We start from the raw sequence: 25,792 nt of genomic DNA on the forward strand, positions 1-25,792 counted from the left end.
TGAAACAAAAGGCAGATCAACAAGAGAAAAAAATATACATTTATTTAATATATGTTTTATGTGACACAGAAATGAAGATTCAAACAAGAAATGAAGATTCAAAGAAACGCTTAAACCTGAGCATATTTATGCTAGGTTCCACGAAGAGTAAAAAGGCGTGGAAAATGTGATAGGACAAAGGGTATGAGCGAAGGGGAGTAAACTAGGGGTAACTTGCCAAGACCTCTTCATGCAGGTTCCTATCAGCATGCCTCCATCTTTGGAGCAAAGGATGGTTTTTACTTATGGCACTTCTCACTTGAAGGTCTTATGACCTGCTTCAGGGGAGAAGTGCTAGGGAAGGTCACAGAGTCCTTTCTGTCATTTCTCAAATTTCTTCACCTTAATTGAAAATATTCAGTATTCCAAGGTGCCATGTTTTGGGGTAGCATGTCCTGAAACCCATCAGTTTGAAGACCCAGACTTTTAGTCCTCTTCTGAAAAATTTTAACTCATTTGTTGAATCTCATCTTTCAAGTTATTTCCTCAAAAAAAGCTTCTCTGACACCAGCCATCTCCTTTCTCACTATTCCCAATCAGTTTTTCCTATATTGACCTCTCATCTCGTTGTAAAAGTTTTTCTTTATAGCGCTTACTACAATGGATAAGTTTACATATACTCATGGCATTGTTTGATTAATAACTATTTCTATCAATAACTTCTGTGTACCCTGAGATTGTGTCTTTTTTTTTTTTTAAATCGTATCCCTGGTTCTTAGATTGTATTTAACACATAGTAGCTACTTGATGTAGTTTTGATAATTGAACAAACAATGACCATATATTCCATATCATGGCATGTGGTTTTGAGGAATGAGGGCTCAGCCTATATGGGGCAGAAACTTTTCCATAAAATTCAGAGTATAGGACTGGTGAGTTTTCTCTTCGTTCTTGTTAACCATATATCGAGTTGTTATTTGTAGCTATAGTGATATAAATATCAGAAAGAGATTATATTCAAAGAATGAGCATATTGCAGAATTCTGTGGGATAGTGCTTTTTCTTCTAAATGTGCCTATCACTTTCCTTATTTTAATGCTGTCATTTTTGGCAGGGAGCTGCTGATACTACAAGGCCAGCTCTTACTGCCATTCAGTTGTCTTGATTAGGGAACAACTCAGCATTCCTAAATTATTCACAAGTCTCAGGCATTGCTGAGGACTAGCAAATGTCAAATATAGTAATTGTCCCCATCCAGGCAGAAAGAAGAAGTTGATTTGAATGTATGCATTTAAATTAATAGGAAAGCAGAACTGGGAAAGTGACCCTACCTCTTCCTTAAGTGCCCAGACAATTAAATGCAAATGGATTCCCAGAGGAGTCTCATGCCAGCTGCTCCTCATTCCTCTCAAACAGAAAGGGAAATGCCATTCACAGTGTCCTTCTATGGCAGAGGGTCTGACATTGACTGAAACCCCTATAGTGCTTGACCAGTGCTAATCTGCATAAATACATCTAATGGGAGCATATTTTGAAACATCGATTGGGGCTCTTTTTTTTTAAGTGCTGTCTGTGATAATCAAATTCCTGGTGACTTCCCAACAGCCCAGGCAGCTGTATACTGCTTTCAGGAGAAAAAGGGAGGTACCATATAAATCAGGGCATAAAGGTCAAATAAACTTAGACATTTATTCATTTATTTTTTTAAACAAATCTTATTAAGTCTTACAGGCAGTTCTGGTTCTAGAGCTACTGTGTGAATAAAATAGGTTCTCTAACTCATGGAGCTTACATCTACTCAGGTGGATACATAATAAACATAAACTAATAAGCAATTAATACAAGTGCAATAACAGTAATATTAATAATAGCATCAGGTTAAAAAGATAGAAAGTGAAGGAGGTGAGGGTGTTTAGATACCTCATTGAATAAATGTCATTTAAATAAGATGGCCAGAATTAGCAAATAAATATACAGGATGCCCAGTATGTATTTTCATGGAGTTATTAGAAAGGGGTCCGGGTCCAGACCCCAAGAGAGAGTTCTTGGATCTTGGACAAGAAAGAATTCAGGGCGAATCCATACAGTAAAGTGAAAGCAAGTTTATTAGGAAAGTAAAGGAATAAAAGAATGGCTACTCCATAGACAGAACAGCCCTGAGGGCTTCTGGTTGCCCATTTTTATGGCTTTTTTTTTATTACATGCTTAACAAGGGGTGGATTATTTATGCCTCCCTTTTTTAGGCCACCTAGTGTAGCTTCCTGACATTGCCATGGCATTTGTAAACTGTCATATTGCTGGTGGGAGTGAGGCAGTGAGGACGGCCAGAGGTCACTGTTATTGCCATCTTGAATTGGTGGGTTTTAGCTGGCTTCTTTACTGCAACCTGTTTTTATCAGCAAGGTCTTTATGACCTGTATCTTGTGCCAGCCTCCTATCTCATCCTGTGAGTAATAATGCCTTAACTTACTGGGAATGCAGCCTGGCAGGTCTTAGCCTTATTTTACCTACCCCCTATTCAAGATGGAGTTGTTCTAGTTAAAATGCCTCTGACAATGGGATATACTTATAGTAAAAAATTTATTCATTGTTAATATGAAATTCAGATTTCACAAATGTATTCAACTTCATCTTGCTACCCTACATTCAAATCACATCTTAAATAATATGAAGCAGCTGACCATGGGAAGACCTGGAGAAAATGCTGTATGGGCAGGAGATTGGTGTGTGTAAAATGCCCTAAGTGAGAAACAAGGAGGAAAAGATGTTTGTAGATAGGGTTGGGAGTTTGTCCAGATCAGACTGCATAGGGCCTTGCAAACCATGATGTGGATTGTGAATATTATTTTAAGTGTGTGGAAAGCCACTGAAGAAGCATTTGGGAAAAAAGTGTCATGATCTGCTTTTTGTTTTAAAAATAGCACTTCGGGTTTCAGGATCGAGAACATCCTGGAAATAAGAGCGGAAGCAGAAAAGCCAGCAGAGCAGGCCATCACAATAGACGTGGCGTGAGATGGTGAGTGCTGAAGGGGGATGGGAGTTGCAGATGTGATGAGAAGTACTTCAATTTGGTATATATTTGAAAAATAGAGCCAAAAAGTATTACTGAAGAATTGCATATGGGGTGCTGGGAAAAGGAGAATCAATAATGATTCCAAAGTTCCTGGCCTGAGTAATCATTTCAAAAGTTGCTAATGTTGGTAGGAAGAACATCTTCTTATTCAAATTTCTAGAGCTTTCCCAGTTCTGAATCAGATACAAGATAGGCTGGAGAAAAAATGGGGAGAGAGGGAGAAATGGTTATTCGAAATGAAAAGATGTTAAATCTCATGGATTATTCAGCATCAAGAACTACCTCCAGGGATCTGTATGAAATCTGAGTCACACTTGTCCTTCTTGTAGCCTTCTGATGATATCAGACTATCCACTGACAAGGGGTTTGCTATGTTCTGAGACTTGAGTTTGAAGACTTAGTTCTGCATCCAACCTACTACACTATCTACATCCAATTGTTTGAGACATTCAGAAATATTTCCTCTCTTTCACTCCGAATATTTAGGGTATGGTAATGTGTCTGGAATTGGTGGGTTCTTGGTCTCACTGACTTCAAGAATGAAGCTGTGGACCCTCGCAGTGAGTGTTACAGTTCTTAAAGGCGGCGTGTCCAGAGTTTGTTCCTTCTGATGTTCAGATGTGTTTGGAGTTTTTTCCTTCTGGTGGGTTCGTGGTCTTGCTGGCTTCAGGTGTGAAGCTGCAGACCTTCGCAGTGAGTGTTACAGCTCTTAAGGCAGCGCGTCTGGAGTTGTTCATTCTTCCTGGGTTCGTGGTCTAGCTGGCCTCAGGAGAGAAGCTGCAGACCTTCGCGGTGAGTGTTACAGCTCATAAAGGCAGTGTGGTCCCAAAGAGCTAACAGCAGCAAGATTTATTGCAAAGAGCAAAAGAACAAAGCTTCCACAGTGTGGAAGGGGACCCAAGCGGGTTGCCACTGCTGGCTCAGGCAGCCTGCTTTTATTCCCTTATCTGTCCCCACCCACATCCTGCTGATTGGTTCATTTTACAGAGAGCTGATTGGTCTGTTTTACAGAGAGCTGATTGGTCCGTTTTGACAGGGTGCTGATTGGTGTGTTTATAATCCCTGAGCTAGACACAAAAGTTCTCCAAGTCCCCAGTAGATTAGCTAGACACAGAGCACTGATTGGTGCATTTACAAACCTTGAGCTAGAGACACAGGGTGCTGATTGGTGCATTTACAAACCTTGAGCTAGACACAGAGTGCTGACTGGTGTATTTACAAACCCTGAGCTAGATGCAGAGTGCTGATTGGTGCATTTACAAACCTTGAGCTAGATACAGAGTGCTGATTGGTGCATCCGCAATCCCTTAGCTAGACATAAAGATTCTCCAAGTCCCCAGGAGATTAGCTAGATACAGAGTGCCCATTGGTGCATCGACAATCCCTTAGCTAGACATAAAGGTTCTCCAAGTCCCCACCAGATTCAGGAGCCCAGCTGGCTTCACCCAGTGGATCCTGCACCTGGCTGCAGGTGGAGCTGCCCGCCAGTCCTGGGCCATGCGCCCACACTCATCAGCCCTTGGGTGGTTGATGGGACGGGGGGGCCCCGAAGCAGGGGGCTGCGCTCGTGGGAGAGGCTCAGGCCGTGCAGGAGCCCAGGGCTTGGGGAGGCATGGCAGGCTACAGGTTCTGAGCCCTGCCCGGTGGGGAGGCAGCTGAGGCCAGGCGAGGATTCGAGCACAGCGCCGGCGGGCTGGCACTGCTGGGGGACTCGGCGCACCCTCCACAGCTGCTGTCCCGGGTGGTAAGCCCCTCACTGCCCGGGGCTGGTGGGGCGGCCAGCTGCTCGGAGTGTGGGGCCCGCCAAGGCCATGTCCACCCAGAACTTGCTCTGGCCTACCGCGAGCAGCCCCAGTTCCCGCCCCGCGTCTCCCTCCATACCTCCTGGCAAGCTGAGGGAGCCGGCTCCGGCCTCAGCCAGCCCAGGAAGGGGCTCCCACAGTGCAGCGGCGGGCTGAAGGGCTCCTCAAGCGCGGCCAGAGTGGGCGCCGAGGCCGAGGAGGCGCTGAGCGTGAGCGAGGGCTGCCAGCAGGCTGTCACCTCTCAGTAATAATGGCATGAAAGCAAAGCTTACATCCCTGTGGTAGGCAGAACAATTGTCCCCCCAAAATGTCTGCATCCTAATACTCGACTTTTAAATGCGTTATGTAGCAAAGGAGAATTGAGGTTGCTAATTGGCTGATCTTAATACCAGGAGGTTTTCCTGGATTACCTAGGCAGGTCAAGTGTAATCACAAGGGGCCTGTAAGTGTGGGAGGGGGAGGCAGGAGAGTTAGTACCAGAATGATGTGACATGGGAAAGACTTAACCTGCCATTTCTCTGGCTTTCAAAGTGGAAGCTGGCAAAGAGCCAAGGAATATGGAGACCCTCTAGAAGCTGGAAAAGGCAATAAGGCAGACTGTCTCCTAGAGGCTCCAGAAAGGAAGACAGTCCTACTGACATCTTAATTTCAGCCTAGTGAGACTCATTTCAGACTTCTGGCCTCCATAACGGTCAGATATAAAACTTGTGTTATTTTAAGCCATTGAGTTTATAGTAACTTGTTATAGCAGCAATAGAAAATTAATACACTGACCGAGGTAGAAGTAGATAAAACCAGCTGGACATCTTCACTGAGGACATCAGTGATAGAACATGTTCCTTATTTCGTACACAAAGGAGTCTTCAAATTTGCCCTGGCAGAGAGAACTGAAAATGAGAGAATTACCTGGATGATTGAGGAAAACATATCAAATGCCACATTTCTTCCAAATAGGTTTTTCCTAGTCCTTGCCTTAGTTACCAGCTAAGCTTTCCAGAATGAGTCTGAAGTTTTTGAGTTTAGATTATTCTACGTAGAACATTGACTTTTCTGTGATCCTTACCATTATACTATAAGCTTTTTCAAAGTGCAAGAAGCTATGTCTCATTCAACAGTGTGAGCTTAGCACTCAGCAAATAATTGTTGAACAAATGAATGAATGTCTGCTTCCATTTCCTTTCAGTTTTGACAGTGAATATGGTAGATCAATGTCTTAGTTCATTCTCACACTGCTATAAAGAACTGCCTGAAACGAGGTCATTTATAAAGGTTAAATTGACTCACAGTTCCACATGGCTGGGGAGGTCTCAGGAAACTTACAAGCATGGTGGAAGGTGAAGGGGAGGCAAAGACCTTCCTTATGTGGCAGCAGGAAAGAGAGAGCTAGCAAGAGCAGGGAAAACTGCCTTATAAAACCGTCAGATCTCGTGAGAACTCAACTCACTACCATGAGAACAGCATGGTCCAATCACCTCCCACTGGGTCACTCCCTCAACATGTGGGGACTATAGGGATTACAATTCAAGATGAGATTTGGGTGAGGACACAGCCAAACCATGTTAATCAGTGTGTGTATAGCAACTGTTGAGTTGGAAGATCACAAGTTAAGCTTGAATTCATCCAAGTCATTTTGCAAGACCTGGTTTGACAGACCAATTTGTTAAGCAAGGTCATATTGTTGTAATTATTGTCCCTCAGCATATACATGGGCCAGGAACCAAGCATTAAAATGCAGTAAGTCCTTGGCATCTAATCTGTTTTTTTTTGTTGCTTGACCTGATCTGTGACAGACTAGAGAGCGAGCCTGAAGAGTCATCTGCAGCCCTGCCAGACTGCTGTAAGAATGACAGCTTTGGCTCGCCACTGGGAGCAGGATAACATGAGAGGTGATGCAATCAGTCTGCAGGGGAAATTGGAACTCAGTTGTCCAGGAAGACTTGGACTGAGGACAAAGCAGGGAAGAATGAGAGAACATTAAGAGAACTGTGGGAAGCCTTGGGTTGTTTAAGGTTAAGTTTGAGATGCATTCATTCAGTGATTGTTTGCTCTATAGGATGTTTTATGTAAGGCATCATGCAAAATACCAAGAGGGAGGCAATGATGAATAATCACAGTTGACATTTATTTTCTGTTTATTATGTGTCAGGCACTGTGCTAAGCATTTTAAAAGCAGTATCTCATTTAATCTTCAAACCGATTTTATGAGGGAAGAACAACTATCATACTCATTAAGTTGATGAGAACAATTAAGCTTAGTGACAATAACTTGCCCAAGGGCACCCAGTAAGTGGCAAAACTGAATATTCAAACTGAGGTCTGGTTTAAAAGTCTATTCTTTTAACCACTACACATAATGGCCTGGTCTTTAATCACTGAACCTAATAATCTAATTGCTCCCCTTTTATTCTTGGAGAGGAAATAAGATACACAAATAGAGAAGTTATAATATGAGAAAAATGCGGTAAGTGCTGTACAGAAGGACTGAGCTCAGCATTATGGAACACAGTACTTCTGAGAATGTAATCCAGACAGGATTTAAGCAGCAGGAGTTAGCAAATAACAGTAGAAGCCATTGAGTATTTATTGTAAGTTAGGTGCTTTACCTCCACTTATTCATTCATTCAAAAAATATTTACCAAGTACTTGCTAGTCACCTGGTACCCTTCTAAGTACTTGGGACCCATTAAAAAATAAGAATTAGTATACCTGCCCTCTTGAATCTTGTATTCTAGTAGAGGGAGAAAAACAGTAAAGAATAAACTGCACACGTACAGTTTATACACACAAACACACCTGTGTATATACATGTTTACACAAACTCACACCCACACCCACAGTTTTAAATGTTCAAGGGCATTATATGCAATGGAGGAAGAAAAAGTGGAAGAGTGCAATAGATACTTTAAATGGGGTAATCATGCTTTAGGGTATAACTAAAATATCTCACTGAATCCCCAAACTCTTTTGAGGCACATATTATTTTTGTGCCCCCTTTTCAGAGAGTGAAACAGGCTTACAGAGGTTAACTAGTTTGTTCAAGAAGTAATGGAATTGGGATACCAATCAGGAATATGGACTCCAGAAGCTGTGTCCTCAATCCCTCTGCTATTCTCACTCCCCAAAATGTTGTCTCCTCTTCTTCCTCCCCACTCTCCTTCTCCTCCTTCTCTTTCTCCTTTCTTCCCTCCCTTCCTCCTTCTTCTAGAAACTGCGTTTGTGGCTATCAGGATTAACATTCTAACTACTTAACATTCTCCAGAACTTGCTGAACTTGAAGACACTGACAGCCCTTCCTCTACTGGCCCAGCTTACTCTTAGTTATGGAGACCCCAGCAAAAATCACAAGGGCTTCAGTCACTTCACCCCTGCCTCCCACCATCTGCCCACCAGAAGCCACCTCCAGCACAGCAGAACCACATCATGTGTAGCCTCGTGGATTTAGCATTTGTTTCTCCATTTTTTTTCTGCTTTTTTTTTCCTTTTGTCAGATCTCCTGATTACTGAACCATATCTATACTTACCATGTCCTTGGGAAACTGGGTCTTGGGTCAGCAGAGGCCAGGGTAAGAACCAACTTTTGAAGCTGGGCTATTGCTTTCCAGCCTAGGGATTAAAGAGTCTTTCCTGTCCTCTCTTTCACAATGACCCAAGTCCAATAGATAACTTGGGGCCATGACAAATCTGCTCCTATTATGAGGTGGATATAAGTGAAAGAGAATTGGATTGGAGATCTCCAATTAGCACCACAACATGTTCCCCTAAAAAGCCTGTTCTTTGAGACCTCTGCCTAGTCTGGTTTCCGAGGTCTCTACTAGTATTGTAATTAATCTTTAGTGTACAAGCAAGTACTTTTGTTGGTATTAATCAGTCCACCAGGGCTAGCCAGGTACAAGATTATCAAGAAGTAGATATTTTTATTTATTAATCAAGCAGTATATTTTGTCATTCAATTCTTAGTACTCAATGAGATAGGCACCATACTATTCCCCCTTCTTTATAGATGACAAAACTGAGGTACATGGAGGTTAAGTTGCCGAAGGCTACATCACTAGGGAATAGCAGGGCTGGACTAGAAACTGAAACCTGTCGTAACTCATTTGTGATATTTTCTCTAGATGCTGAGGATCTAGGCAAGAGATCCCTGATTTCAGGAACCTTCCAGCCTAGTGGGGAAGATAATCAAGTAAATTCAAAATATTAATAACAGGCCATTTCTTAAAAGTTGGGTAGTGTGCAGGTAGAATTGTGGGATAGAGCAACCAGGGAAACCAGTGGTATTTTTTTCTTCTTCCTCACCCAGACCATTTTTATCTTACCAGTAGCACCATATGCTTCTACGACTTACACTTTCCATGAAGTGGGTCTGGCTGTCTCTCACCTCCTCATGATTCTGTTAGAAGACCATCCTGAAACATGTCCATGAGGATGGTAGCCAGTCATACCAGCTAATTTGTTGCCCTAAGCTCTGGTTATCTATTATTGCCTAATAAACTACTTTAACACTTAACAGCTTAAACAAATCTATTTTATTATCTGTCATGATTTTCTGGGACAGGAATTTGGCAAGACGTGGCTTTGCTATTCTGCTCCACATGGCAGAGACTCTGGTTACTGGGTGGTATATAACTGGTGCCTGGATTCATCCAGAGGGCCCAAGATGAGTTCATCCTACATCCTGGCACCTTGATGGACACCTGAAAAGCTGAGATCCCTCTCCACATACCCTCAGGTGATCTCTCTAGCAGGTTGTCAGAATTCTTATGGGGTGAGTCAGCTACCAAGAGATGCCAAAGTTGAAGCTGCCAGCTCTCTTAAAGTCTAAGCCTGGAAATGGCATCACATGACTTCCATCAGCCTTCATTGGTTAAAGCAGTTCCAGTCAGCCCTATCCAAGGGAAAGAGAAGCACACTCCACTTCTGGATGGAGGCATGTCAAAGAATTGGTGGCTGTCTTTTATCTATTACTGTTTCTAGTAGACTTTGCATTAAAGTTTCTATGGGTATATGTGTGTGCATGTATATATATATAAAATATGTGTGTGTATATATATATATATATATATATATATATGTATTTTTTAGACAGGTTCTTACTCTGTCTTACTCCCAGGCTGGAGTGCAGTGATGCGATCACAGCTCACTGCAGCTTCAACCTCCCAAAGTCAGGTGATCCTCCCATCTCAGCTTCCCAAGTAGCTGGGACCACAGGTGCATACCACCATGCCCAGCTAAAATTTTTTTTTTTTTTTTCGTAGAGATGGGGTCTCACTATGTTGCCAAGGCTGAGCTCTAACTCCTGGGATCAAGTGATCCTTCCACTTTAGCCTCCCAAAGTGCTAGGATTCCAGATGTAAGCCACTGAACCTGGCCAGATTCAAAATATTTCTAATAAAAATTGCCTATTTCTGAAGACTCATTGAAGCTGAGGTGCCACAACCTTCAATATTAAAAATATTGAATTCAGTATTAAAAAATTGAATTCAATATTCAAATATATTGAATTCAGTATTCAAATATATTGAATTCAGTATTCAATATTGATATGATTTGGCTGTGTGTCCCCACCCAAATCTCATGTTGAATTGTCATCCTGAGTTTTGGAGGTGGGGTCTGTTGGGAGGTGATTGAATCATGAGGGTGGTTTCTAATGGTTTAGCACCATCCCCCTAGTGCTGTTTCATGATAGAGTTCTCATGAGATCCAGTTGCTTGAAAGTATGTAGTACTTCCCCCTTAACTCTCTCTCTCCTGCTCTACCATGTGAGGATGGTGCTTGCTTTCCCCTTTCCTCCCACCATGATTGTTAAGTTTCCTAAGGCCTCCCCAGCCATGCTTCCTGTACAGCCTGTGGAACTGGGAGTCAATTAAACCTCTTTTAATCATAAATTACCCAGTCTCAGTTATGTCTTTATAACACTGTGAAAAGGATCTTATACAGAAATTTGGCACCAGAGAAATTGGGCATTGCTATAATGATACCTAAAATGAGCAGAGGTTGGAACAGTTTGGAGGGCTCAGAAGATAGGAAGATAAGGGAAAGTTTGGGGCTTCCTAGAGACTTTTTGAATGGTTGTGACCAAAATGCTGATAGTGATATTGACAGTGAAGTCCAGGTTGAGGAGGTCTCAGATGGAGATGAGGAATTTATTGGGAACTGGAGTAAAGGTCACTCATGCTATGCTTTAGCAAAAAGACTAGTGGCATTTTGCCCCTGCCCTAGAGATCAACTTATGTTTTAACTTGAGAGACTTGACTTAGGGCATCTGGTGGACAAAATTTCTAAGCAGCAAAGCATTCAAGATGTGGCCTGGCTGCTTCTAATAGCATATGTTCATGTGCATTCACAAAGAGATGGTCTGAAATTGGAACTTATATTTAAAAGGGAAACAGGGCATAAAAGTTTGGAAAATTTGTGGCTTGACCATGTAGTAGAAAAGAAAAACCCGTTTTCTGGGAAGGAGTTTAAGCTGGCTGCAGAAATTTGCATAAAGAGGAGCCGAATGTTAATAGCCAAGACAATGGGAAAAACGCCTACAAGACATTTTGGAGATCTTTCTGGCAGCCCCTCCCATCACAGGCCTGAAGGTCTAGGAGGGAAAAATGGTTTCATGGGCCAGGCCAGGGGCCCCACTGCTCTGTGCAGCCTTGGGACATGGTGCCCTGCATTGCGGCTGCTCCAGCTCCAGCCCCAGCTGTGGTTAATAAGGGCCAAGGTACAGCTTGAGCCATTGCTTCAGAGAGTGCAAGCCTCAAGCCTCAGTGGCTTCCACATGGTGTTGGGCCTGCAGGTGCATAGAGAGTGAGAATTGAGGCTTGGGAGCTTCCACCTAGATTTCAGAGGATTTATAGAAATGCCTGGATTCCCAGGCAGAAGTCTGCTGCAAGGGTGGAATCCTCATGGAGAACCTCTATTAGGGCAGCGTGGAAGGGAAATGTGGGGTTGGAGCCCCCACATAGAGTCCCCACTGGGGTACTGCCTAGTGGAGCTGTGAGAAGAGGGCCACTGTCCTCCAGACCCCAGAATGGTTGATCCACCAACAGCTTGTACTGTGTGCCTGGAAAAGCTGCAGGCACTCAATGCCAGCCTGTGAAAGCAGCCACAGGGGCTGTACCCTGTGAAGCCAGGGGGTGGAGCTACCCACACCCACCAGGCATCAGTGTGCCCTGGATGTGAGACATGGAGTCAAAGGAGATTATTTTTGAGGTTTAAGATTTAATGACCACCCTGCTGGGTTTCAGACTTGCGTGGGGCCTGTACCTCCTTTATTTTGGCCACTTTTTCCCTTTTGGAACGAGAGCATTTACCCAATGCCTATAACTCCGTTGTGTCTTGAAAGTAACTAACTTGCTTTTGATTTTATAGGCTCATAGGCAGAAGAGACTTGCTTTGCCTTACATGAGACTTTGGAGTTGGACTTTTCAGTTAATGCTGGAATGAGTTAAGACGTTGGGGGATGTTGGCAAGGCATAGTTGTGTTTTGAAATGTGAGAAGCACATGAGGTTTGGGAGGTGCCAGGGGTGGAATGATATGATTTTGTTCTATGTCCCTGCGCAAATCTCATGTTGAATTGTGATCCTGAGTGTAGGAAGAGGGGCCTGTGGGAGGTGATTGGATCATGAGGGCAGTTTCTAATGGTTTAGCACCATCCCCCTAGTGCTGTCTTGTGATAGAGTTCTCGTGAGGTCGGTTGCTTGAAAGTGTATAGCACTTCCCCCTTAACTCTCTTTATCCTGCTCCACCATGTGAGGATGGTGCTTACTTCCCCTTTGCCTTCCACCATGATCATAAGTTTCCTAAGGCTTCCCCAGCCGTGCTTCCTGTACAGCTTGTGGAACTGGAGTCAATTAAACCTCTTTTATTCATAAATTACCCAGTCTTATGTATGTCTTTCTAGCAGTGTGAGAATGGACTAATACAAATATATATTCAATATTCAATATATATTCAATGTTTAAATAAGACAACCAGACTTTCTTAGACCAGTGAATGTACAGTCATTGTCTTTTAATATTCATATGTAAATTTTGAATTTCAAATGGTATTATGAAAACTAGTGGGGGATATTTAGATCTCCCTTGCAATTTTGGCAGCAGGAGTGACTGTTTTCACAAGCCATGGGCTGAGGATTAAGATGGACAGCAGGCAGGTTTGGGAATCATATGAGCTGTTAAAGGAAAACTGTGGGAAGATATTCAGAGAGAAAGTGGGCTACACTCATTCCAAGAGGAGGAGTTGTGGAAATTTCCGAGAAAGGAAAAGAGAGCAAAACTTGAGAAAATAGGATTCCTAGGACCAGTGCCAGGGAAAAGCAACTTCTAGAACCATTCCAGAAACACTATAGGTGTCAGTAGGTATTTGTTTAATAAGAGAAATAATTAGTAAAGAGATGACTGTGGACATGTTCTAGGCCAGGGGCCTCACAGAGAGTGGACCTGGGAATAAAGAAACTCTTAGACTACTTTGGGAGAATTAAATGAAATTATTTGTGTGAACTAAGGGCCCATGCCTTGCACATGACAGACACTCAAAAAATATTAGTTTCCTTCTAGTCCTTAGTTTTTTTTTTCAAAAGTAGAAAAAAGGCGAAAGCTTTGCATTGAATTGTGAGAATAGGTAGATAAAAAGAGTGGGCTTAAAAGATAATTTTACTTTTGTGGGTTAAGGTGTAGAGCAGAACTGTCTCATAGAGCTTTCTGCAGTGATGAAAATATTCTATATCTGCACTGTTCAATATGTTATCCACAGACCACATATGAATATTGAGTTGTTGGGATATGCTAGAGTGGCTGAAGAAGTAAATCTAAAACTTTAATGTTAATTAATTTAAATAGTTTCATGTGGCTGGTGGTTGTTATATTGGACAGAAGGATTTACTTAATATTTATTTGAAGCAAAGTCCATAATATAACATAGTACTTATTAACCTCAGATATATAATATCTGCATCTTGAAAGCAAGTTTAATTGTTTATTGAGGTACATTAAGCGGGTAGGAGAAAAAGTTAGGCCTATGGCTAACAGGGAGCAAATGTAGAGGCCTAAATACAAGCATTAAGACAAAGACTGAAGGACGGGTAGTAATTTAGGGACCAGTTCGTTGCCCTACACAAACAAGACCCTGGTGCATATCAGTAACTATGTATCAGAATACTATGGTTTGGATTTGCAAAGAAGTTCAGAGTGCTTTCTAGCCCTGTTGCAGGTAGCAAATTGAACAAAATGAGTATTATTTATATTCACCTGGCATAATTTGTTATTCGACTTTTTCTGATGGCAGTCATGGAACTGGAGCAGTTAAACCTCATTCTCCAGGGTACTGGTGCTACTGCCAAGAGCGGAAAACTTTCATCTTCCAAAACCTCAATCAGCCAGTTTCTCATCTGCATCCCATAAATCATCAAGAAAGAACAAGCTCATTATCTCAGCACCAGGGACAAAAGTCTTTTACATGACACTGAACTTCTGACTACTGCAAAACATGGCAGCTTGCCATCATATGTTTAACAGGTGTGTTGGTCCCTTTAACAGACTGGGCCAGAAGTTTGAGGATATGGTCTGAAATTTCAATTTTGTTACGTGTTGTGACTTGCACTGGGCCCAAATCCAGAGGTAATTGGGCCTAGTGGTCTGAAGAGTTACTTGGGTGTTCTGTAATTTTAGTAGATTTGGAGAAAGAGAGGTGGGGATGTCTGTCCCTGAAGATATTTTCTCATAGAAGCAAGGAATTACAGGAACTTCTCTGTTGTGTTTTGGGTAAGTGTTTCCATGCTGCTACTCTGAATAATAGGGTAGATATTTCCAGGTACAGGCTGTTAAAATTTGCTATATTACCTCCATTCTGTATGTAGTTCCTTCTCTACATAACAGTGTTGGTTAGGTAGTGGAACCTTCTAAATGACGCACTATGTGATTCCTGTGTCATATAGAATGTTCTATGATTCTTAGCCAGATAATCATATTCCCAGAAAAGGCCTCTCAACTTTCACCTGCCTTTCTAAGGACTGAAATACTCTGAGTGTTGCATAAAGGGTGTTCCAAATATGGGCATTCACCTGTTTCCTGATTAAAAAAAGATAATTTGGTATGAATAAAAAAAAAGGGACGCTTTGTAATGGGTTTGGTAAATCTTTCCTGTAACAGGTTAGATAATAAATATTTTAGGCTTTTGGGATATGTAATCTTTATTTTAACTACTCAAATGGGCAGCAAAGCAAAAGCAGTATGTAAATGAATGAGTATTGCTGTGTTCCAATAAACTTTATGGACTCTGAAATTTGAATTTCATGTAATTTTCACTTGTGATGAAATAGTCTTTCTCTTTTGTGGTTTTTCAGCTATTTAAAAATGTAAAAACAATTGTAACCTTTCAGACTGTTAAAAAGAAAAGAAAAACAAAACAAAACAAAAACAAAAACCAACGAAAATGGCAGGCCAGGTTTGATCTGTAGGCAGTAGTCTAGTGACTACCAACTCTAAGATACACACATAAGTAAATAGAGTGTAAATGTTTCATACAAATTATTATAGATATTACCAGGTTGTAGCCTTTTAGAGTGAAGGAAGACTTTATATTTCCACCTTTATTTATAGAATTCAAAACCACAGTTTGTTTATAATGAGTACATTTGTGAGTATTTTTTTAAAAATGAAAGAAGAATAAAGCGTAGTTTTATGGCCCAGTAGAAAAGATAACTGAAAAGATAACTGTCTTAGGAGTCCAGAATTTTTTGCTCAGCTTTGACTCTAGGTAAGGGCTTATAATACTGAATTTTCTTATCTCTAAAATGAGAATGATGCTGGCTCTCCCACTCTCATAGGGCTGTTATAAAAACCAAATGAGATTGTGCTTTGGAAAATGCTTGCAAAAGATCAAGTGCTACATGTGTGTAAAATAATTTTCCAGGAATATCCCCAAAGTTTTTGGGCTGGTATATCATATAATTTCTTTCAGTAATTGTGTGGAAAAATACTTTATAAATGCATAGATATAGATAGATATTTTCATATAATACATGCAGTGATGATCTGATGAGAAAAATGATGTACCCTGAATGTTTTATCTTTTAATAGCACTGGCAATCTTGATATGCATGAATCTTTTAAAACCATGCTACAAACCTCTGTTTCATTTAGAATATTATGTCTTTTTTGACTTACCCCAAACCCCAAAATGACCAAATGGGAATGAAATATGCCAGCATGCACCTCATGCCTGGGAAGATACATAAAACAATGGGTTGAGGATTGGATTAAAGAAAGACAAAGGCCTTCACACAAGTGATTCTTCCTAAAATTGAAAGGTTACCAGCTAACAAGATAGGAAGGTAGTCTCTTTGACCTTCTGCTATTCAGAGAGATATTGGCAATAAACAATTATATGTGTGTGTGTGTGTGTGTGTGTGTGTATGTGTGTAGTGTAAGTGTAAATGAAAGTGAAAGGACATATACAATATACTACAATGAGGGAATAATTTCAAGTGTAAAAAATGTTCATCTTAAAATCATTCAGTTTGTTTCATTTTAATTTAATCAATTTTGTCAATGGCTTTTTTTTTTTACCTGCAAGGAATAATTCACTGAAGACCAGAAAATATTTTGTAAAGGGTAAATTTTTGTTTATGTTTCTTAGTATATGAAATCGCTTGTCCCCTAAATGGAGAGTTTTAATTAAAATAAACGAGAAACCAGGGAAGCAAAGGAGAAAGACATTTAAGCATATTTTTCTTGTGTAAGGTTTTTCATGTTTCCTTCATAAAAGTTGAATTTCCCTTCTGGGCTTTGCAGTATAGTTTGTATAATTATTCTGGAGAAATGAGAAATGTGAGAAGGAGAATGGTGTATTTGAGAACTAACCCGAAATATTTGCTACATGCGGCTGATTTCAGTTAAGTCTCCAAGCACCACAATAATGGTGTAGATGTCATGAATGATGATGGTTTGAAGTTTTATATTACCCACTTCTGACGCTCATTTTCAGTTGGTTTCTGTAGCATTACAGTTGGTTTCTGTAGCAACTTGTTTTTACTCATTCTGCTGGAGATGTATATATAGATATGTATGTATACGCACATATATATATTTAAATATTCCTTATCCTTTTTCATTCTTCTGTATTTTTAATCTTAATATATTTTTAACAAGGGTGATACATAACATAAGGTAATATAAGGTAATATGTAATTTAATGTAATATAAGGCAATATAGTAACATGCCTAACATTTTCTGATTTGGATGCATGTCTGTGATATTGGCAGCCACACTCAGGAAATTTGATTTCAGGTGAGACAGACCTAATGCTTGTCTGTAATGCACAGTGTGATGAAAGAGCCTTTAGTGATGGGTCAATGCTAACGAAAGTTTTTCTCATTAGGTATACACTGCATAGTCTGGCATAGCTGTTGCTAGCTTTAGCTTTAATGAGAGAAGACCATAGCACACATTAATCTCAGATTCAAAATTTCATAGTGTAGAACTTGTAGAGACTATAAAACCTAATGATGCCAAATATATGAGTTCAGAAACCTCCATCCACTCTGCCATCTTGTTATATCAGAAACCCACTGAAGGATCAGTGAAACAGTTCAAAAGGGGGACACAATGTATTAAATTCCAAATCCTTAGGCATAGTTTGAAAATTTGAATCCAATTTAAACTAAAAGAGTTTCATAAATTTTTCTGTTTACCCTGGGTTCGTAGTCTATTAAGGTCAATGTAAAGTGCCTGTACCAGGAAGAGAGAGACACCACTTCCCCAGTGGATGAAAAATAACTATGGAGTCAGACTTACGTGATTTTAGTCTCAGTTTTGTGCCCTGCAAGCTGAGCAACCTTGAACAAGCTACTTGTTGTTTTAAACTTTGGCTTCTCCCTATTTAAAATAGGGATTAAAATGGTACCTTCTGGGGAAAATCCAATGAGGTAAAGCATATATAATACTTAGCACATTTAATGTGCTTAGTACAGTGCCTGGCTCATAATGAACACCCAGTAAATGCTATTAGTTATTCAAAGAATAGTGTAAGTCCTTCTGGGGCAGTACAAAAAAAAAAGGTTCTGCCTGCTTTCAAGGAATTCATGTTTGTGTGTGTGTGTGTGTGTGTGCGTGCGTGTGTGTGTGTGTGTGTGTGTGGAGACAGAAGCCTTAATCTCAGGAATGATCACAGGAACAGCGTCAGAATGTGTATCACTGAGGGACCCCAGAATAGATGTGGCCAACTGGGAGTATATTAAGGATTCCAAGGAGGGAAAAATCACAAGGGGATAGAGTCACCTGGAAGACTTTCTTAAGGTGGTAATTGAGCTGGGCCTTGCAAAATTTAATAGGCCTGGAGAAGGCAACTGAGTTGAGGGTATTTTAGGCTGGGGAAGTGGAAACCATGTCCTAATAATGTCTAGCTGATATAGGTCTGAACTTTATGTGAGAGGCAACTGACTTTAAACCATACTCTTTTTTTTTTTTTTTGAGATGGAGTCTCGCTCTTGTTGCTCAGGCTGGAGTGCAGTGGCACGATCTCGGCTCACTGCAACCTCCGCCTCCCAGGTTCAAGCGATTCTCCTGCTTCAGCCTCCCGAGTAGCTGGGATTACAGGCATGTGCCACCATGCCTGGCTAATTTTGTATTTTTAGTAGAGATGGGGTTTCACCATGTTGGTCATGGTGGGTCACCATGACCAACATGGTGAAACCCTGTTTCCTGACCTCAGGCGATCCACCCACCTTGGCCTCTCAAAGTGCTGCGATTATAGGCATGAGCCACTGTGCCTGGCCCACATTCTTTTAAACAAGCAGACCTTGTGTGAACTCAGAGTGAGAATTCACTCATGACCAAGCCATTCATGAGGAATCCACCCCTGTGACCCAAACACCTCCCACTAGGACCCCCTCCAACATTGAAGCTCACATTTTAGCTTCAGATTTGGAAGGGACAAACATCCTCACATATTCCACCCCTGACTCCCCAAATCTCATGTCCTTCTTACTTTGCAAAATACAATCATGCTTTTTTAATAGTCCTCCAAATTCTTAACTGGTTCCAGCATCACTCAAAAGTCCCACGTCGCAAGTCCAAAATCTCATCTGAGACTCAAGGCAAAGTTCCTTCTACCTATGAGCCTGTAAAATGAAAACAAGTTATTTACTTCCAAGATACAAAGGTGGTACAGGCATTAGGTAAACCTTCCCATACCAAAAGGGAGAAATCAGCCAAAGGAAAGGGGCTATAGGCCCCCCGCAAGTCCAAAACCTTGTAGGGCAGACATTAAACCTTAAAGGTCCAAAATAATCTCTCTTGACTTCACATCCTGCATTGTGTGTACGTTGGTGTAGGGGGTGAACTCACAGATAAGGCATTCTGTGAGTCCACAGATGGTAATCTTGGCAGAAGCACTGCGTGCAGGATAGGCAAACCCATATCCAAAGTAAGTGTCTACACCTGTGAAGACAAACCAAATCACTGCCCTTTCCATGATGGAAGAGGTTCAATATAATCACCAAGTGGCTGACTGCCACCAAGTAGCTTGCTGCTCACCATGAGGAATGGTGCCATATTGAGGGCTCAATGTTGGTCTCTGCTGCTGGCTAATTGGGCACCCAGCAGTGGCTGTATTCAGGTCTGCCTTGGTGAGCGGAAGTCTTTGTTGCTGAGCCCATGCACACCTCCATCCCTGCCACCATGGCCACTTTTTTATGGACCTATTGGGCAATGACAGGGGTGGCTGGGGAGAGAGGTTGAGTGGTGTCCACAGAAAAAGTCATCCTATCCACTTAATTATTAAAATCTTCCTCTACTGAGGTCACCCTTTGGTGAGCACTCACATGGGATACAAACATCTTCAAAGTTTTTGACCACTCAGACAGATTTATCCACATACCTCTTTCCCAAATTTCCTTGTCACCAATTTTCCGATTATGCTTCTTCCAAGTCCCTGAACATGCAGGCAAACCACTGACTACAGTCCATGAATCAGTATATAATCGCACATCTGGCCATTTCTCCTTCCAAGTAAAGTGTACAACTGGGTGCACTGCTCAAAGTTCTGCCCACTGAGAAGATTTCCCTTCACCACTGTCTTTCAGGGATGTCCTAGAAAGTGGCTGTAGTGCTATAGCTGTCCACTTTTGGGTGGTGCCTACATATCGTGCAGAACCATCTGTAAACTAGATCCTAGTCTTCTCTTCCTCTGTCAACTCATCATAGGGAACTCCTCATGAGGCCATCAGTGCAGGTGGGAGAGAGAAGGCAGGGTGGCAGGAGTGGAGACTATGGGCATTTGAGCTGCTTCCTTATGTAACTTGCTTGTGCTTTCAGGATCTGCTTGAGCGTGATCACTTATATTCCACTTCCATTTGCTGATGGAATGCTACTCTGCACATCCTACTTTATGGCTAAATGAGTCAGAAAGCATCCAGTTCATGATAGGCAGTTCAGGTCGTGTGGTGACTTGATGACCCATAGTCAAACATTTAGTTTCTACCACAGTCCAGTAACAGGCCAACAGCTGTCTCTCAGAAGAAGAGTAGTTATCTGCAGAAGATAGCAGGTTCTTGCTCTAAAATCCTAGAGTACTCCATTGTGATTCACCTATGGGGCCTGCCAAGGGTTCCAAACAGCATCTCTATCTGCCACTGACACCTCAAGAACCATTAGATCTACTGGGTCATATGGCCCAAGTAGCAGGGCAGCTTTCACAGCAGCCTGGACCTGTTGCAGAACCTTCTCCTGTTCTGGATCCCACTCAAACCTGGCAGCCTTTTGGGTCACTTGATAAATGGGCTAAAGTAACACACCCAAATGAGGAATGTGTTGCCTCCAAAATCCAAATAGGTCCACTAGGCATTGTGCCTCTTTCTTGGTTGTAGGAGGGGCCAAATGCAGCAACTTATCCTTCACCTTAAAAGGAATATCTTGACATGCCCCAAACCACTATACTACTAGAAATTTCATTGAGGTAGAAGGTCCCTGAATTTTAGTCAGATTTATTTCCTATCCCCTGGCATGCAAATGTCTCACCAATAAGTCCAGTGTGTTTGCTACTTCTTGCTCACTGGATCCAGTCAGCATAATGTCACCAATGTAATGGACCACTTGATATCTTATGGAAGGGAAAAGTGATCAAGGTTTCTGCAAGCAAGAGTATGACACAAAGTCGGAGAGTTGATGTACCCCAGAGGTAGGACAGTGAAGGTATATTGCTGGCCTTGCCAGCTGAAGGCAAATTGCTTCTGGTGGGCCTTATGGACAGGAATGGAGAAAAAAGCTTTTGCCAAATCAATGGCTGCATAGCAGGTACCAGGAGATGTGTTAATTTGTTGAAGGAATAAAACCACATCTGGTACAGCAGCTGCAATTGGAGTCACCACTTGGTTAAACTTATGATAATCCACTGTCATTCTCCAAGATCCACCTGTCTTCTGCACAGGCCAAATAGGAGAGTTGAATGGGGATGTGGTGGGAATCATTACCCCTGTGTCCTTCAAGTCCTTGATGGTGGCACTAATCTCTGCAGTCCCTCCAGGGATGTGATATTGTTTTTGATCTAGCATTTTTCTAGGTAGAGGCAGCTCTAATGGCTTCCATTTAGCCTTTTCAACAATAATAGCCCTCACCCTACCAGTCAGGGAGCCAATGTGGGAATTCTTCTAGCTGCTACATACATCTGTGCCGATTATGCATTCTGGCACTGGGGAAATTACCACAGGATGAGCCCAGGGACACACTGGACTCAGTGTAAGTCAGACCTAAACTAAAACTCCATTAATTACCTGACCTCCACAAACCCCTACTTTAACTGGAAAACCACAATGATGTTTTGTGTTCCCTGGAATCAACACCAGCTCAGAGTCAGTGTTCAGTACTCCCTAAAAGATCTGATCATTCCCCTTTCCCCAGTGCACAGTTACCCTGGTAAAAGGCTGGAGATCTCCTTGAGGGAAGATGGGAGAAAGATTAACAGTATAAATTGTTGGTAGTGTAGTGTGTCATTCCTCAAGGGGACCCAAGCTCACCTTCATTTAAGGGGTTCTGGGTCTTTAAACTGATTCAAGTCTGGAGATTGATTGAGGGGCTGAAATTCTCTGTTTTTATAATTCAAATTAGTCTTTTGTCCACTCAACCTGGAAGTTTTCTGCTTATACAAATTAAATAAGAATGTGGAAGGCTTCCCATCAGCTTCACTTCTAGGAACACCATGATTAAATAGCCAATGCCAAAGCTCTACACAAGTCAGACTAGTCTGATTGCTGCTTTGCCTCTACTTTCCATTATAGTAACTATCTCATCTTGCTGTTGACGGTTGAGTGCCGCCACTTGGCCCCTGTCACCTCAGGATTTAATTATTCCCATTGTGTTTAAGTTCTCAGTTGAGTGACTGCAGTTCCCACTGTAAGATCTGGCATACAGAGAAGGGAAATCACAGAGCTCTTCAAGGATGCATGTGCTGCCCTCACAAATCTATTTTGCAAGGTATTGGTGAAGGGTATGTCTTCTGGACCCTCCCAGTTGGGATGAGTAGGTCTAAAATGACTAATCCACTCGCATTCCAATCTCCCTGAGCCTTTGGATTTCTTTCTTTGTATTAAGTCAATGGAGATAGGTATTTCCAGCCCACTCACAATGGGCCATCTTTTGATCCATGTTTCAGCTAACCAAGCAAATATACTATTATAACCTTTTTAACTCCCTGAGCTGCAACATTAAATGTAGAATCTGTGCTTAGTGAGCCCATAGCAATAAATTCAGCCTGATCCAATTCTGTGTTCCTTCCACCATTATCCCACACCCTTAATATCCATTTCCATGCCTGTTCCCCAGATTTCTGCTTATATAAATTAGAAAGCTTGAGCAGTTTTTTTGGAGTGTAGTGCACCTCATTGTGGGTCACACTTTGAACTTCACCTCTAGGAGTCTGCTGGGTCTTGAGTCTAGTTATAGGTCTAGAAGTAAACAGCCGTGTTGGGAATGGGTCCTGAGGAAAATCAGCATTGTTTTGCCTGGCAACTGCATCAGCCATCACTGTTGCCTCAGGCAGTGCATGGTTAATCTCCTCAGACAAAGGTGAAAAGGCTGATGGCAGAGTGGGTTGGGGAGGGGATGTTGCCACCACTGGGGTTGGGGAGGCTGTCTCCTCTGGGAAAAAAGTCTCATCAGAATGTAGGAGCTCAGTGCTCTCAGCCTCATCTGGGTCCTCCCACACGTCTCCATTCCAAGTTATAGGGTCCCATTCTTTTCCAATCAACGCCCTCACCTTAACAAACGGTAGACACCTGGCAAGACTGAGCATGTACCTTTCATTGCAGGTCAGTCACTTTCATGATGAGAACTTGTGTCTGATCTTCCACAATTGCAGGTCTTTGTCTGCAGGAGATAGGACTCTCTCACTCAGGGCAATCTTAGAAGATTTGAAGCTCGGTATGTGCTTCTGGAGCAGGGAGTTAGAATCCCTAAGCTCATCATTTTCTTTCATCACTTTGTAAACTTAGAAGAAACCCACCAATTTCATAATATTCCTTGGTTCTCCACATATGGTCAAAGATATATATAGAGTCACTAAATTTCTTGCCTCTCAAGAGCAGTGAATCAGGAGTATCAAATGCACTTGTTTTGCATAACTCTCCAAACAGTTCATGCCAAAGACTATCAGTGTTCTCCATACTATTCGAAGTACAGTCCTTAACATTTTTGGGTCTAATCAGATTAAGCAGTCAATTCCAGAAACCCCAAAACCAACTAAAAAAATCCATCCTTAAAATTCTGTTCCTCCAGAACCATTTCTGGTACCAAAATCTGTATTAGTCAGGGTTCTCTAGAAGGACAGAACAAATATTATAGATGAATATATGAAAGGGCATTTAAGGAGTATTGACTCACATGATGACACGGTGAAGTCCCACAATAGGCCAACTGCAAGCTGAGGAGCAAGGAAGCCAGTCTGAGACCCAAAACCTCAAAAGTAGGGAAGCCGACAGTGTAGCCTTCAGTCTGTGGCTGAAGGCCTGAGAGTCCCTGGCAAACCACTGATGTAGGTCCAAGAGTCCAAAAGCTGAAGAAGTTGGAGTCCAATGTTTGAGGGCAGGAAGCATCCAGCATGGGAGAAAAATGAAGACCAGAAGACTCAGCAAGTCTGCTCTTTTTACCTTCTGCCTGCTTTTTCTAGCCATGCTGGCAGCTGATTAGATGATACCCATTTAGATTGAGGATGGGTCTGCCTTTCCCAGTCCACTGACTCAAATGTTAATCTATTTTGGCAGCACCCTCACAGTCACACCCAGGAACAATACTTGGCATCCTTCAATCCAATCAAGTTGACACTTAATATTAACAATCACAGATGGCAAGGACTGTCCAGAAGACTTCTGAAATGCCTTTAGGGCATTTTCCCCATTGTTTTGGATATTAGCACCTGTCTCCCTTTTAGTCATCTAATCTCCATAGCAAGTGGTTGCTCTGGAGCCTGCTTGGATTCCTCTCCTGAGAATGCTCTTTCCTTCTCTACCACATGGCCAGCCTGCAAATTCTTTAAACTTTTATGCTCTGCTTCCCTTTTAAATATAAGTTCCAACTTTATGTCATTCCTTTACTCCTGCATCTGAAGATATGATATTAGAAGCAGCCAGGTCACTTCTTGAATACTTTTCTGCTTAGAAATTTCTTCCACCAGATACCCTAGGTCATCACTCTTAATTTAAACCTTCCGCAAATCCCTAGGACATGGACACAATGCAGCCAAATTCTTTGCTAGGATGTAACAAGGATGACCTTTGCTCCAGTTCCCAATAATTTTTTTGTTTTCATCTGAGACCTCATCAGCCCTGGACTTTCGTTATTCATATTTCTATCAGCATTTTGGTCACAACCACTTAACAAGCCTTTAAGAACTTCTAAACTTTTTCTTGTTTTACTCTCTTCTTCTGAGCCCTCTAAACACTTCCAACCTCTGCCCATTACCCAATCTCAAAGCCGCTTCTGCATTTTTAGATCTCTTTAAAGCAATGCCCCACTCCTCAGGTCCAATTTTCTACCGTATTTGTCTGCTTCTGCATTACCATAAAGAAGTACCTGAGGCTGAGTTATTAAAGAGGTTCATTTTGGCTCATGATTCAGCAGTCTGTACAGGAAGCATTATGCAAATATCTGCTCCCAAATAGGGCCTCCTTTGCTTCCACTCATGGGAGAGGGCAAAGTGGATCCAGTGTATCACATGGTAAGAGAGGAAGTGAGAGAGAGAGGAGGGGGTAAGTGCCATACTCGTAAACAACCAGATCTCTTATTGTTAACAGTGGAGGGTGTCCAGGTTCTTGGTGTCTTGAATAAAGAATTGAACAAAATGCACAAACAAAGCCAGGAAGGAATGAAGAGTTTTACTGAAAATGAAAGTACACTTCACAGTGTGGGAGTGGGCCTGAGCACACAGGCTCAAAGGCCCTGTTGCAGAATTTTTTTGGAGTTTAAATACCCCCTAGAGGATTCCATTGGTCACTTGGGGTATGCCCTATGTAATTGGAGAGGATGAAGTAAAGTTACAAAGTTACTAATGGCATATGCCCTATAGAGAGGATATTTCCTGTTATAGCTGAAGTGTGAATTGGCCTATGTTCCCTGCCTCCAGACCCTATTTTTCTGCCTCATCTCCCCACTGAGAGATGTGATCCCCATAAATCTTTATGGGAGGCAGAGGGACCAATGGTCTTTTTTCTGTAACCACTTCATGCTGGCTTGGAGTGTAGACCCTACCTATTGGGGATTATGGAACTCTCACCCTGCTGTATCTAGTGGAGGCAGGGTAGCTTCCTGATGGCCAGGAGTGGTATCTTCACCTGGAGGTGTCTGAAACCTTTGTTGCATGATCACTTGAAACTTGATGGTTTCTAGGCGAGAGGAAATGAATTTGATTAAAAGATTTAATGGAGACTTCAGGTGGTGGATACCTATGCTGTTAGAAAT

At 41.9% G+C, this 25,792-nt stretch overlaps 1 long non-coding RNA gene across 4 annotated transcripts in view, besides 1 other annotated feature; it reads left to right on the plus strand.

Moving 5' to 3' along the window:
• Positions 1-25,792, plus strand: part of LOC107984704 (uncharacterized) — a 336,950-nt gene that overhangs the window by 87,710 nt on the left and 223,448 nt on the right. For 2 of the 4 annotated variants that reach the window (XR_001750835.1, XR_001750836.3), the window contains exons 3-4: positions 2,901-2,995; positions 14,132-14,942. This is a non-coding gene — a long non-coding RNA (uncharacterized LOC107984704). Of the gene's footprint in view, positions 1-2,900; positions 2,996-6,644; positions 6,806-14,131; positions 14,943-25,792 lie in introns of those variants that run through there. The other 2 variants (XR_001750837.1, XR_007064292.1) reach the window with 2 other exon arrangements.
• Positions 2,807-4,006: an enhancer, noted in NCBI's record as "BRD4-independent group 4 enhancer chr14:82294057-82295256 (GRCh37/hg19 assembly coordinates)". NCBI's record gives its function as "activates an origin of replication core promoter dependent on BRD2, P300/CBP, MED14 and CDK7 cofactors, and independent of BRD4, by STARR-seq in HCT116 cells {active_cell/tissue: HCT116}" and the evidence as "EXISTENCE:reporter gene assay evidence [ECO:0000049][PMID:35650434]".

This window comes from Homo sapiens, chromosome 14 (assembly GCF_000001405.40).
Source record: "Homo sapiens chromosome 14, GRCh38.p14 Primary Assembly".
NCBI classification, from domain to species: domain Eukaryota; kingdom Metazoa; phylum Chordata; class Mammalia; order Primates; family Hominidae; genus Homo; species Homo sapiens.